General features: G+C 49.6%; 1 protein-coding gene across 8 annotated transcripts in view, besides 2 other annotated features; it reads right to left on the bottom strand.

Moving 5' to 3' along the window:
- Positions 1-13,942, bottom strand: part of LDLR (low density lipoprotein receptor) — a 44,358-nt gene that overhangs the window by 22,307 nt on the left and 8,109 nt on the right. For 4 of the 8 annotated variants that reach the window (NM_000527.5, NM_001195798.2, XM_011528010.3 and 1 more), the window contains exons 2-7: positions 11,169-11,291; positions 8,728-8,850; positions 5,914-6,294; positions 4,827-4,949; positions 4,000-4,122; positions 743-862 (exon numbers count right to left, since the gene is read on the bottom strand). In NM_000527.5, the coding sequence (NP_000518.1) occupies positions 743-862; positions 4,000-4,122; positions 4,827-4,949; positions 5,914-6,294; positions 8,728-8,850; positions 11,169-11,291 (993 nt within the window). Of the gene's footprint in view, positions 1-742; positions 863-3,999; positions 4,123-4,826; positions 4,950-5,913; positions 6,295-8,033; positions 8,851-11,168; positions 11,292-13,942 lie in introns of those variants that run through there. The other 4 variants (NM_001195803.2, NM_001195799.2, NM_001195800.2 and 1 more) reach the window with 4 other exon arrangements.
- Positions 6,130-6,630: an enhancer, noted in NCBI's record as "H3K4me1 hESC enhancer chr19:11215560-11216060 (GRCh37/hg19 assembly coordinates)". NCBI's record gives its function as "activates a minimal SCP1, AML or CMV promoter by ChIP-STARR-seq in naive H9 embryonic stem cells {active_cell/tissue: H9 hESC(naive)}" and the evidence as "EXISTENCE:reporter gene assay evidence [ECO:0000049][PMID:30033119]".
- Positions 8,670-9,308: an enhancer, noted in NCBI's record as "H3K27ac-H3K4me1 hESC enhancer chr19:11212882-11213520 (GRCh37/hg19 assembly coordinates)". NCBI's record gives its function as "activates a minimal SCP1, AML or CMV promoter by ChIP-STARR-seq in naive and primed H9 embryonic stem cells {active_cell/tissue: H9 hESC(naive and primed)}" and the evidence as "EXISTENCE:reporter gene assay evidence [ECO:0000049][PMID:30033119]".

Below are 13,942 nucleotides of genomic sequence, written 5' to 3'. Positions count from 1 at the left end.
CTGGAAGAGAGAGAAAGAGGCTTGGTGGGGAGGCTCTTCCCCAATGGCTAGAGACGGAGCGATGGGGCCCAGGCCAAAACCCACACCTTCGAAGGCAGCCAGGAGACAGCCCAGCCTCTCGGGAGATGTAATCAAGGAAACAGCCAGGTGTCATCCCCAGTCATCACCTGACCTCATCATTCACCACGGGAACCCAACCAAGAGTGTGAAGCTGTGTCAGCTGAAATTTCTTTTCTTTTTTTTCTTTTCTTTTCTTTTTTTTTTGGATGGAGTTTCACTCTTGTTGCCCAGGCTGGAGTGCAATGGCACGATCTTGGCTCACCACAACCTCCACCTCCCAGGTTCAAGTGATTCTCCTGCCTCAGCCTCCTGAGTAGCTGGGATTATAGGCATGCACCACCAAGCCCGGCTAATTTTGTATTTTTAGTAGAGACGGGGTTTCTCCATGTTGGTCAGGCTGGTCTGGAACTCCCGACCTCAGGTGATCTGCCCGCCTCGGCGTCCCAAGGTGTTGGGATTACAGGGATTACGCACCCGGCCTGAAATTTCTTAATTACTAATCCCCAGAGGCAAGAAACTCTGGCCAGCCAATGATAGTTTTCCATGCAGGTGGAATCTCATGAAACCCTCCTAACTGCTTTCAAGCACACTTAACAGATGGGGAAACTGAGGCATGAGGGGTTTGGTTGCCATGTCAGGAAGCGCAGAGGGGGCCCAGGGCTCAGTCCCACCCGGGAATCACCTTCGCATCTTCGCTGGGCCACCAGCTGGAAGCCGTCGGGGCACAGGCACTCGTAGCCGATCTTAAGGTCATTGCAGACGTGGGAACAGCCGCCGTTGTTGTCCAAGCATTCGTTGGTCCCTGCGCAGGGCCAGGGGATGCAGACTGGTCACTCTCGGGCCCCTACCCATCCCTTCGCCGCCAACCTTGGCTCATTACAACCTCCACCTCCCGGGTTCAAGTGATTCTCCTGCCTCAGCCTCCCAAGTAGCTGGGACTACAGGCATGTGCCACCATGCCCAGCTAATTTTTTTGTATTTTTAGGAGAGACGGAGTTTCACTCTTGTTGCCCAGGCTGGAGTGTAATGGCACGATCTCGGCTCACTGCGACCTCCGCCTCCTGGGTACAAGCGATTCTCCTGCCTCAGCCTCCCACTTAGCTGGGATTACAGGCACCCACGACCATGACAGGCTAATTTTTTGTATTTTTACTAGAGATGGGGTTTCACCATGTTGGCCGGGCTGGTCTCGAACTCCTGACCTCAGGTGATGCGCCCGCCTCGGTCTCCCAAAGTTTTGGGATTACAGGCGTGTGCCACCGCACTTGGCTCAGTGAAATAAGCCAGTCAAAAAAGGAAAATGCTGTCTGATTCCACTCAGAGGAGGTCCCTAGAGCCATCACATTCATAGGGACAGAAAGTAGAATGGTGGGTGCCAGGAGTTGGGGAGGGGATGGAGAGTGAGTGTTTCATGGGGACAGAGCTTCAGTTTGGGAAGATAAAAGAGTTCTGGGGCCGGGCGCAGTGGCTCATGCCTGTATTCCCAGCACTTTGGGAGGCTGAGGTGGGAGGATCACTTGAGGTCAGGAGTTCGAGACCAGCCTGGCCAACATGGTGAAACCCAGTCAGTCTCTACTGAAAATACAAAAATTAGCTGGGCGTGGTAGGACGGGCACCTGTAATCCCAGCTACTGAGGGGGCTGAGGCAGGAGAATTGCTTGAACCTGGTAGGTGGAGGTTGCAGTGAACCGAGATCGCACCACTGCACTCCAGCCCGTGCGACGAGTGAGACTCTGTCTCAAAAAGAATAAAAAAAAAAAAAAAAGTTCTGGAGATGGTGGTTGTGATGTTGTACAACAGTGTGAATTTGCTAATGGCACAGAACTGTGCACTTAATAAGGTTTGAGAAGGTAAATTTTATGTTACATGTTTTTTACTGCAGTTTATGTATATATATAAAACAAGTTATATATATACATAAAACAAGTTATATATAGATATATAGATATAAAACAACAAAAGTCCGGGCGCTGTAGCTCATGCCTGTAATCCCAGAACTTTGGGAGACCAAGGCAGGCAGATAGCTTGAGCCCAGGAGTTCAAGACCAGCATGGGCAAACATTTTTTTGTTTGAGGCGGACTCTCACTCTGTCGCTCAGGCTGGAGTGCAGTGGTGCAACCTCGGCTCACTACAACCTCCGCCTCCTGCATTCAAGCGATTCTCCTGCCTCAGCCTCCTGAGCAGCTGGGACTACAGACGCGCGCCACCAAGCCTGGTTAATTTTTTGTATTTTTAGTAGAGACGGGGTTTCACTGTGTTGGCCAGGATGGTCTCGATCTCCTGACCTCGTGATCCTCCCGCCTCGACCTCCCAAAGTGCTGGGATTACAGCTGTGAACCATCCTGCCAGGCCTAAAAATGGCTTTTACATATTTAAATACTTGAGAAGAAAAATAAAAATAAAAAGGGAAATCATTTTCATGACACAAAACAGTTATATGAAATTCCAATTTTTGTGTCCATAAATAACATTTTCTGGGCCCACAGCCACGTGTATTGGTTTGCGTTCTGTGCGTGGTTGTGTTCACCCAACAGCCATGTTGAGAAACTGCACCAGAGACCGTATGGCCCACAGTGTCCGAAATACTTACTTTTTTTTAGAGATAGGGTCTCTTGCTCTGTTGCCCAGATTGAAGTGTGGTGGTGTGATCACAGCTCACTACAGTCTCCAACTCCTGGGCCCAAGCGATCCTCCTTCCTCAGCCTCCTGATTAGCTGAGACTACAGGAGTATGCCACCATGCCCAAGCCCACTCTGGTATATGACAGAGAAAACTTGCCACTGCCTTCTCTATACTGTACAGTTATCCTAATATGGTCTTTCAGTATCCACCACAGAGGGTTGGGGAAAAAAAAAAACCCTCACCAGGACGAGGTGGCTCACGCCTGTAATCCCAGCACTTCAGGAGGCGGGCAGATCACTCGAGGTCAGGAGTTCGAGGCCAGCCTGGCCAACATGGTGAAACCCCATCTCTACTAAAAATACAAAAATTAGCCCAGCAAGGTGGCATTCAGCTGTAATCCCAGCTACTCAGGAGGCTGAGGCAGAAGAATCGCTTGAACCTGGGAGCCGGAGGTTGTGGTGAGCCAAGATCATGCCACTGCACTCCAGCCTGAGCGACAGAGCAAGACTCTGTTTCGAAATAACAACAACAAACCTCAAGACAGAAGCAGGCATCTAAGGAAAAGAATTCATGTATTTCAGAATTCGCTTTTTTTTTTTTTTTTTTTTTTGAGACAGAGTCTCACTCTGTCACCCAGGCTGGAGTGCAATGGTGTGATCCCGGCTCACTGCAACCTCCACCTCCTGGGTTCAAGCGATTCTCCTGCCTCAGCCTCCTGAGTAGCTGGGATCACAGGTGCCTGCCACCACACCCGGCTAATTTTTTGTAGTTTTAGTAGAGATGGGGTTTCACCGTATTAGCCAGGATGGTCTCAATCTCCTGCCCTCGTGATCTGCCTGCCTCAGCTTCCCAAAGTGCTGGGATTACAGGCGTGATCCACCGCGCCCAGCATCGCTTCATTTTTTAATTTTTTTTCATGGGGTGGGTCACGCCTGTAATCCCAGCACTTTGGGAGGCCGAGGTGGGCGGATCATGAGGTCAGGAGTTCAACACCAGCCTGGCCAACATAGTGAAACCCCATCTCTACTAAACATACAAAAAATTACCCGGGCTTGGTGGTGGGCGCCTGTAATCCCAGCTACTCAGGAGGCTGAGGCAGGAGAATCACTTGAACCTGGGAGGCAGAGGTTGCAGTGAGCCGAGATCGCGCCATTGCGCTCCAGCCTGGGCGACCGTGCGAGACTGTCTCAAAATGAAAAAAGGAGCCCTTTGCACAGGGTGGGCAGAGTGGAGTTCCCAAAACCCTACAGCACTCATGTCTCAGTCCCTTTCCTGGCTCCCCACAAACTCTGCAAGCCGCCTGCACCGAGACTCACCGCACTCTTTGATGGGTTCATCTGACCAGTCCCGGCAGTCTCTAGCCATGTTGCAGACTTTGTCCAGGGTGATGCATTCGCCGCTGTGACACTTGAACTTGTTGGGTCCCTCGCAGAGTGTCACTGTGAGAGCCAGAGAGAGGAAGGAGGAAGGTCAGGTGTGTCTGAGCCTCAGTTTGCTTGGCACTCATTCATATAATAGTTTATTCACATAAGAACGCATGCAAATGGATTCATTAAGAAAACGCGTCGGGCACGGTGGTTTGTGCCTGTAATCCCAGCACTTTGGGAGGCCAAGGCAGGCAGATCGCTTGAGCCCAGGAGTTCGAGACCAGCCTGGGCAATATGGCAAAACCGCATCTCTACTAAAAATACAAAAAAATTAGGCCTGGCGCAGTGGCTCACACCTGTAATCCTAGCACTTTGGGAGGCCGAGGCGGGTGGATCACCTGAGACCAGGAGTTCAAGACCAGCCTGGCCAACATGGAGAAACCCTGTCTCTAATAAAAATACAAAAAATTAGCCGGGCGTGGTGGTATACGCCTTTAATCTCAGCTACTCGGGAGGCTGAGGCAGGAGAATCACTGGACATCAGAGGCAGAGGCTGCCGTGAGCTGTGATTGTGCCACAGCACTCCAGCCTGGGTGTCAGAGCGAGACTCCGTCTCAAAACAAAAGGAAGTGAGGCTCTGAGAAGTCAAGTCACTTGCCCACAGACGCACAGCTGGTGCAGAGCTGACCAGGGAAGCGCCCTCTGGCTTCACAAATCATTTGCAAGCAGCAAGGCACAGAGAATGGGGGATGGAAAACCAGATGGCCAGCGCTCACCATTAACGCAGCCAACTTCATCGCTCATGTCCTTGCAGTCATATTCCCGGTCACACTGCCGGCTGCCATGGATGCAGTTTCCATCAGAGCACTGGAATTCGTCAGGGCGACAGGTGGCCACAGCTGGAAAACAGGACAGAGTGTGTTGATTTTCTCAAGAAGAGACAACCAGAGAAAAAGAAGCAGGGCCTTTTGCCGGGTGCAGCGGCTCATGCCTGGAATCCCAGCACTTTGGGAGGCCAAGGCAGGAGGATTGCTTGAGCCCAGGAGTTCAAGACCAGCCTGTGTCTGTACAAAAAAATTGGCCAGGCTTGGTGGTACAGCCTGTGGTTCCAACTGCTTGAGAGGCTGAAGTGAGAGGATCGCTTGAGCCAAGGAGATCAAGGCCGCAGTGAGCCATAATCGTGCCACCTTACTTCAACCTGGGTGACAGCAAGACCCTGTCTCAAAAAAACAAAAAAAGGCTGGGTGCAGCAGTGCACGCCTGTAATCCCAGCACTTTGGGAGGCCGAGGCGGGTGGATCACCTGAGGTCAAGAGTTCATGACCAGCCTGACTAACATGGTGAAACCCCATCTCTACTAAATAGAAAAAAAAATAGCCGGAGGTGGTGGCACATGCCTGTAATCCGCGCTACTTGGGAGGCTGAGGCAGGAGAATGGCTTGAACCCAGGAAGCGGAGGTTGCAGTGAGCTGATCGCGCCACTGCACTCCACCCTGGCGACAGAGCGAGACTCCGTCTCAAAACAAAAACAAAAACAAAAACAACAAACAACAAAAAACAACCAGCACCTTCCAAACAGTGATTTCCCAATAAGCTAACAGCAACCATCGGCCAGCCTGGGGCCTCATGGTGGCCATATGGATGTAGGAAATTTAGAGATGAAAAAAATCACAGAGTGAGACTCCATCTCAAAAACAAAATAAAGAAAGAAAAGAAAAAAAAGAAACAAACATGAAATGGGAATACTTTCTTGGCATGTTGTTGGAAATCCACTTCGGCACCTAAATCACTGCATGTCCCACACCTGGGGGAGCCCAGGGACAGGTGATAGGACGCCCCGCCCCCACCCTGGCCCCGCCCATACCGCAGTTTTCCTCGTCAGATTTGTCCTTGCAGTCGGGGCCACCATCACAGCGCCAGCTGGAGTGGATGCACTCGCCACTTAGGCAGTGGAACTCGAAGGCCGAGCAGGGGCTACTGTCCCCTTGGAACACGTAAAGACCCCTACAGCGCTGCGGCCACTCATCCGAGCCATCTTCGCAGTCGGGGTCGTTGTCGCAGGCCCACAGCTGGGGGATGCAGGTGGAGCTGTTGCACTGGAAGCTGGCGGGACCACAGGTGAGCACCGGGCAGGAGGCCTCGTCTGAGCCGTCCAAGCAGTCCCGGTCTGAGTCACAGACGAACTGCCGAGAGATGCACTTCCCATCGTGGCAGCGAAACTCGTCCTGGGAGCACGTCTTGGGGGCTGCAGGGATGGATGGGCCGAGACCACCATCACCGTGTGAAGTCTCCCAACACCAGCCCATTCTATAGCCGGGGACGCTGCCGCAGTGAGGCCAGGCCCCTGGAAAGGCGGGCTGGGGAGCAGTCAGGGGCCATGGACTCTGAACCACTGCCCTCTCGGTGCCTCAGTTTCCTCATCTGTACACATTTCCCAGCACTGCTATGAGCACTGGTGCGCTAATAGGTGTAAAGCTGTTAAACTGAGACCTGCAAGATGGTAGCACAATTTATAGAATTGCTGTCCTTATTTTGGGTTGAGTATCCCTTCTCTAAAATGCTTGGGACCAGAAGTGTTTTGGATTTTGAATTTTTTTGGATTTTGGAATATTTTCAGAGTTGGAATATTTTTCTGATTTTGGAATGTTTCAAATTTGGAATATCCTTAATGTTGTGGGTGAGCACTGACTATCTGGACCAGTGGTGTGGGGGTAAGAATTTATCAAGACAGTTGTAGGTGCAGCCGGCCTCAGTGGCTCATGGCCGTAATCCTAGCGCTTTGGGAGGCTGAGGTGGGAGGATCACTTGAGGTCAGGAGTTCAAGACCACCTTGGCCAACATGGTGAAACCCCGTCTCTACTAAAAATACAAAAATTAGCCTGCGTGCTGGTGCACGCCTGTAATCCCAGCTACTCGGGAAGCTGAGGCAGGAGAATCGCTTGAACCCAGTAGGTAGAGGTTGCAGTGAGCTGAGATTGCACCACTGAACTCCAGCCTGGGCAAACAGAGTGAGACTCCATCTCAAAAAAGAAAGAAATTTTAAAAAAGGTAGTTGTAAGTACAGAAAGACAGATTTATTCCAGAAAGTAGGTAGGAAAATACCTTGCAAGAAAGCAATGAGCAGGTCAGCAAGAGAGGAGCTGACTGCCAGAAGACAAAGGCTTGCTGGGAATTTTTTTTTTTTTTTTTGAGACGAAGTCTCACTCTTGTCCCCCAGGCTGGAGTGCGATGGCAAGATCTCGGCTCACTGCAACTTCCACCTCCCGGGTTCAAGCGATTCTCCTGCCTCAGCCTTCCAAGTAGCTGGGATTACAGGCACCTGCCACCACGCCTGGCTAATTTTTTTGTATTTTTAATAGAGACGGGGTTTCACCATGTTGGCCAGGCTGGTCTCAAACTCCTGACCTCAGGTGATCCGCCCGCCTCAGTCTCCCAAAATGCTGGGATTACAGGTATGAGCCACTGCACCTGGCCGCTTGCTGGAGATTTTATAGAATGGTGCTTGTGCTGTGCGCTGAAGAGGGCTTTGTGCAGTACTTATAATGCCGAGGTTGCAGTGAGCTAACTTGCAATTTTCTATCAGCCGAGGTGTCTGATGATAGCTGGGAGCAGGAAGATAAGGAGTTATTTACGCAGGAGGGCTGTGTGTTCTGGACCATGGAGAAAGGCAGAGTTACATAGTTTGTCGGCCTTCTTCTTCTTTTTTTTTGAGACAGAATTTCGCTCTTGTCCCCCAGGCTGGAGTGCAATGGCGTGATATTGGCTCACTGCAACCTCTGCCTCCCAGGTTCAAGTGATTCTCCTGTCTCAGCCTCCCGAGTAGCTGGGATTACAGGCAGACGCCACCATACCTGGCTAGTTTTTGTATTTTCAGTAGAGATGGGGTTTCACCGTGTTGGCCAGGCTGCTCTCGAACTCCTGACCTCAAGTGATCCACCCGCCTCAGCCTCTCAAAAGGCTGGGATTACAGGGGTGAGCCACCGTGCCTGACCCTATCTGCCTTCTTTTATTGCTTTCCTTTGGTTCGGTCAGCCTGGTTTTTTTCCTAATTAGGACTCCACACTCAGTGGTAAAAATCCGAAATCCAAAATGCTCCAATAAGCATTTCCTTCTAAAGGTCAGTGCTCAAGACGTTTCAGAATTTCGGGTGCTCAAGACTTTGAATTTCGGGGTTTTGGATTTGGATGTGCCACTTGTATTAAGACAGCCAAGAAGACGCCCAGCTTCAAAGTCCATTTCCCTTCGGGATTCTTGGCCTTGCTCCTTGGCAGAACTTTCTGGCTTTTCCCCCTTCATGTTACGTGGGTCATTGAGGCTTGGCTAGCAAGCGTCACTATGTGTTCAGCCTCACGGGGCGGGGATCACAGGATCACGGGGATCACGACCAGCGGGAATCACAGCGGCTTGCCAGTGTGTGTGCCAGGTGGCTAGCCCTCGGCAGGGACAGCCTCCCTGACTGTGCGTGACAAACCCGAAGAGGTAGCACCATCCCCACTTTGTAATGCCTCCTGGTCAAGGGGGGATTTGAAGGGCGGAAGAGGCTTGGTATGAGCCCCCAAGAGATGGAGCCCAGTTCGGGGCAGCTGCCTTGCAGCTCGAGCAGGACCCCGTAGAGACAAAGTCAGACCACTCCCCAGGACTCAGATAGGCTCAATAGCAAAGGCAGGGCCACACTTACGACAGCCTTGCTCGTCTGAGCCGTTGTCGCAGTCCACTTGGCCATCGCACCTCCAGAACTGAGGAATGCAGCGGTTGACACGGCCCCCACAGCTGAAGTCCCCGGATTTGCAGGTGACAGACACTACAGAAGAGACAGGATTGAACTGTCACTCAAAGGAAAGACCCACTGAGGCCGAGCACAGTGGCTCACGCCTGTAATCCCAGCACTTTGGGAGGCCAAGGCGGGTGGATCACGTGAGGTCAGGGGTTCAAGACCAGCCTGGCCAATATAGTGAAACCCTGTCTCTACTAAAAATACAAAAATTAGTTGGGTGTGGTGGCGGGCACCTGTAGTCCCAGCTACTCGGGAGGCTGAGGCAGGAGAATCACTTTAACCTGGGAGGAGGAGGTTGCGGTGAGCCGAGATCCTGCCATTGCACTCCAGCCTGGGTGGCAGAGTGAGACTCCGTCACACACACACACACAAAAAAGACCCACTGGCCTTGCCAATCCTGTCTTTGCAAAGGAAAACCCCAGAACTTTGAAGAGAATGTCAATCCCACTTTTTTTTTTTTTTTTGAGACAGAGTCTTGCTCTGTCGCCCAGGCTGGAGTACAGTGGCACGATCTTGGCTCACTGCAAGCTCCGCCTCCCGGGTTCACGCCATTCTCCTGCCTCAGCCTCCTGAGTAGCTGGGACTACAGGCACCCGCCACCACGCCTGGCTAATTTTTTGTATTTTTTTAGTAGAGACGGGGTTTCACCGTGTTAGCCAGGATGGTCTCGATCTCCTGACCTCATGATCCTCCTGCCTCGGCCTCTGAAAGTGCTGGGATTACAGGTGTGAGCCACCGTGCCTGACCTAATCCCACTTTTTTTTTTAGTAGAGATAGAAGTTTCATCATGTTGAGCAGGCTGGTCTCAAACTCATGGCCTCAAGTGATCCGCCTACCTCAGCTTCCCAAAGTGCTGGGATTCTAGGCATGAGCCACCATGCCTGGTCTCCCATTTTAAAAAAATATATATATACATACATATGGGGCGGGCTCAGTGGCTCACGCCTGTAATCCCAACACTTTGGGAGGCCAAAGCTGGCGGATCACGAGGTCAGGAGATTGAGACCATCCTGGCTAACGTGGTGAAACCCCATCTCTACTAAAAATACAAAAAATTAGCTGGGCGTGGTAGTGGGCGCCTGTAGTCCCAGCTACTCGGGAGGCTGAGGCAGGAGAATGGCATGAACCCAGGAGGCACAGCTTGCAGTGAGCTGAGATCGCGCCACTGCACTCCAGCCTGGGCAACAGAGCAAGACTCCGTCTCAAAAAAAAAAAAAAAAGAAAAGAAAAAGAAAAAAACAAAAACAAATATTTATTTATTACTTATTTTTTAGAGATGAGGTCTAGCTATGCCACCCAGGTGGCCCTCAAACTCCTGGGCTTTATAAAGCAATCTTTCTGCCTTTCTGCCTCAGCCTCCCAAGTAGCTGGGACTACAGACACAAGCCATTGTGCCCGGCCAAGCCTACCCCTTTATGGGTCAAAACGGAGGGCATTTAAATGGAGCTTGTTAAAAACTGGACATTAGGCTGAGTGCGGTGGCTCACACCTGTAATCCCAATACTTTGGGAGTTCGAGGCAAGAGAATCACTTGAGCCCAAGAGGTCAAGGCTGCAGTGAAGTATGATGGTACCACTGGACTCCAGCCTGGGCAACAGAATTAGACTCCATCTCTTAAAAAAAAAAATAGGCCGGGCATGGTGGCTCACGCCTGTAATGCCAGCACTTTGGGAGGCGGAGGCAGGTGGATCACGAGGTCAGGAGATCGAGACCATCCCGGCTAACATGGTGAAACCCCATCTCTACTAAAGATACAAAAAATTAGCCGGATGTGGTGGAGGGTGCCTGTAGTCCCAGCTACTCGGGAGGCTGAGGCAGGAGGATGGCGTGAACCTGGGAGGCGGAGGTTGCAGTGAGCTGAGATCACACCACTGCACTCCAGCCTGGGTGATGGAACGAGACTCCGTCTCAAAAAAAAAAAAAAAAAAAGACATTAGGTTATGCAAAGTTTTGGAACAAGATAGAGGTGGTGGCCACACAGCATTGCAGATGTATTAATGCCACTGAGCTGGTTAATTTCATGTTATGTGAAATTCACATCAATTGAAAAAACAATAGAGCCATTTAATGGCTTTAAGGAAAGCTCCAATAATTCATTCTCTCCCCACCTCCTAATTCATGATTGAATACATCAAAATCCACTGGCCACTTTTCCAGCCGCCATCATCAAAAAGGGGTTAAGAATCGTGTCACAGGCCAGGCGTGGTGCCTGTAATCCCAGCACTTTGGGAGGCCGAGGCCAGCGGATCACTTGAGACCAGAAATTCAAGACCAGCCTGGCCAACATGGCGAGACCCTGTCTCTATTACAAAAATAAATGCATATCATGCCCAAAGGGGACTCACAGCACGTCTCCTGGGACTCATCAGAGCCATCCTGGCACTCAGCGCTGCCATCGCAGACCCACTTGTAGGAGATGCATTTCCCGTCTTGGCACTGGAACTCGTTTCTTTCGCATCTGTCGCCCACTGAGAGAGAGGAAAAGGAGAAAGGGTCTCTCAACGCCAGAATCAGAAACTGACCACGTTTCCTGTGTCTATTTCCTGCCAACTAAAGAATTAACCAGAAATGTCATCCGATCAGGAACAGTCTGATTCCCAGGGAATTAAGCAAGCACAACAAATGAAATTTTATGAACCCCAAAATTCAGTGGAGGACACAAAGAAGGAACCCAAGAGAGACACTTGTCAACAAAGGCTAGTGTTGTTGATTCCAAAATATGGACTCTCTGGGGTATGGGAAAAAAATATTAGAACTTCCATGCACATTAATAAAGAAAGGAAGAGTATTTAGCATATTAAAACCTGTACTACAGCTGGGCATGGTGGCTCATGCCTGTAATCCCAGCACTTTGGGAGGCCGAGGTGGGCAGATCACCTGAGGTCAGCAGTTCGAAACCAGCCTGGCCAACATGGTGAAACCCCGTCTCTACTAAAAATACAAAATTAGCTGGGCGTGGTGGCACATGCCTGTAATCCCAGCTACTCAGGAGGCTGAGGCAGGAGAATCACTTGAACCTGGGAGGCAGACTTTGTGGTGAGCCAAGATTGTGCCATTGCACTCCAGCCTCGGCAACAAGAACAAAACTCCGTCTCAAAAAAAACCTGTACTGCCCAGGCATGTTGGCTCATGACTGTAATCCCAGCACTTTGGGAGGCAGAGGTGGGTGGATTGCTTGAGCCCAGGAGTATGAGATCAGCCTGGACAACGTAGTGAGACCCTTTATCTATTATAATTTTTTTAAAAGTTAAAACAAAACAAACAAAACCTGTGTTGTTCTATCCATCTGACCATTAAAAAAACAAAAACAAAAAACTTGTACTGTAAAGAGTCATGAAGAAAACTCACAGACACAGCATAATCATTAAGGTGGAAGAAAACTTGAGTTTTCTTCAGTAGGTAGGGAAGAAATACTTAGATAAAGAATTATGAGAAATTATAAATGTAGAGGCCAGAGAACACAAATTTAGCAGTGAAGATAATCATGTATCTGAAGATCAGATCAAAAGAAATGGGAGAGAAACATTAACAAAAGATATAATAAGAGAAAACTTTTCCTTAGAAAACCAAGACTTAGATTATTACATTAAAATGAGAACAAAGTAACTGGAAAATTTCCCAAAATATATTTACACCTTGGAAAAGAGATCAAAGTCTTATTGAATGTATTTAGTTTTCTTCTATTTTCTTTTTTTTTGAGACAGGGTCTCACTTTAGAGCGATCAGTGGAGCGATCACGGCCCACTGCAGCCTCAAACTCTGAGGCTCAAGCAATCTTCCCATCTCAGCCCCCTAAGTAGTTGGGATTAAAAGCACTCACCACCATGCCAGGCTAATTTTTCTACTTTTTGTAGAGATGGGGTCTTACTGTGTTACCTAGGCTGGTCTTGAACTCTTGGGCTCAAGCAATCCTCCCACCTCAGCCTCCCAAAGTGTTGTGATTATAGGTATATGCCACCACACTTGGCCTGCATTTAGTTTTATATATTAAATTTGGATTTAGAATACTTTTTTTTTCTTTTTTTGAGACATAGCTTCGCTCTGTTACCCAAACTGGAGTGCAGTGGCAGGATCATGGCTTACTGCAACCTGGATTGAACCTCGTGGGCTCAAGTGATCCTCCTGCCTCAGCCCCCCAAATAAATGGGACTACAGGCACATGCCACCATGCCCAGCTAATGTTGGAATTTTTTGTAGAGACAAGGTCTCACTATGTTGCCTAGGCTGGCCTCAAACTCCTAAAGTGATCCTCCCTCCTCAGCCTCCCAATATGCTGGGATTACAGGCATGAGCCACCACACTGGGCCCTCTAATACCTTTATATGAAAGATTCTGGTTCTGTGAACTAGAATCAAAGCAACTTTTATAAATCAAAGTATAAACTTTGATTCCCTATGTAAACTAAGGCAATAAAAGCAATAACAAATTATTATTATTATTATTTTCAGACAGAGTCTCACTCTGTCACCCAGGCTGGAGTGCAGTGGTGCAATCTTGGCTCACTGCAACCTCTGCTTCCCAGGTTCAAGCGATTCTCCTGCCTCAGCCTCCCAAGTAGCTGGGGATCACCAGCAACTGCCACCATGCCCAGGTAATTTCTTGTATTTTAGTAGAGATGGAGTTTCACTATATTGGCCAGGCTGGCCTTGAACTCCTGACCAAAGTGCTGGGATTATAGGCTGGAGCCACCATGCCCGGCCGCAATAACAAATTATGATTGCTTATCTCAGCATGCACTATGCACTTATTATTACTATAATAAGGTAACAATACCAAGAAGAAAAAAAAATCTGCCTTTTTTAAAATTTTATTTTATTTTATTTTTGACACAGAGTCTCACTCTGTCGCCCAGGCTGGAGTGCAATGGCACAATCTCAACTCACTGCAAACCTCCACCTCTGGGTTCAAGTGATTCTCCTGCCTTAGCTTCCTGAGTAGCTTGGGAATACAGGTGCGTGACACCACACCCGGCTAATTTTTGTATTTTTTGTAGAGACGGGGTTTCACCATGCTGCCCAGCCTGGTCTCAAATTCCTGACCTCAAGTGATCTGCCTGCCTCAGCCTCTCAGTGCTGGGATTACAGGTGTGAGCCACCATGCCCAGCCAAGTCTGACTTTT

This window comes from Homo sapiens, chromosome 19 (assembly GCF_000001405.40).
Source record: "Homo sapiens chromosome 19, GRCh38.p14 Primary Assembly".
Lineage (NCBI taxonomy): Eukaryota > Metazoa > Chordata > Mammalia > Primates > Hominidae > Homo > Homo sapiens.
This window is presented reverse-complemented; position numbering and strand designations above follow the sequence as displayed.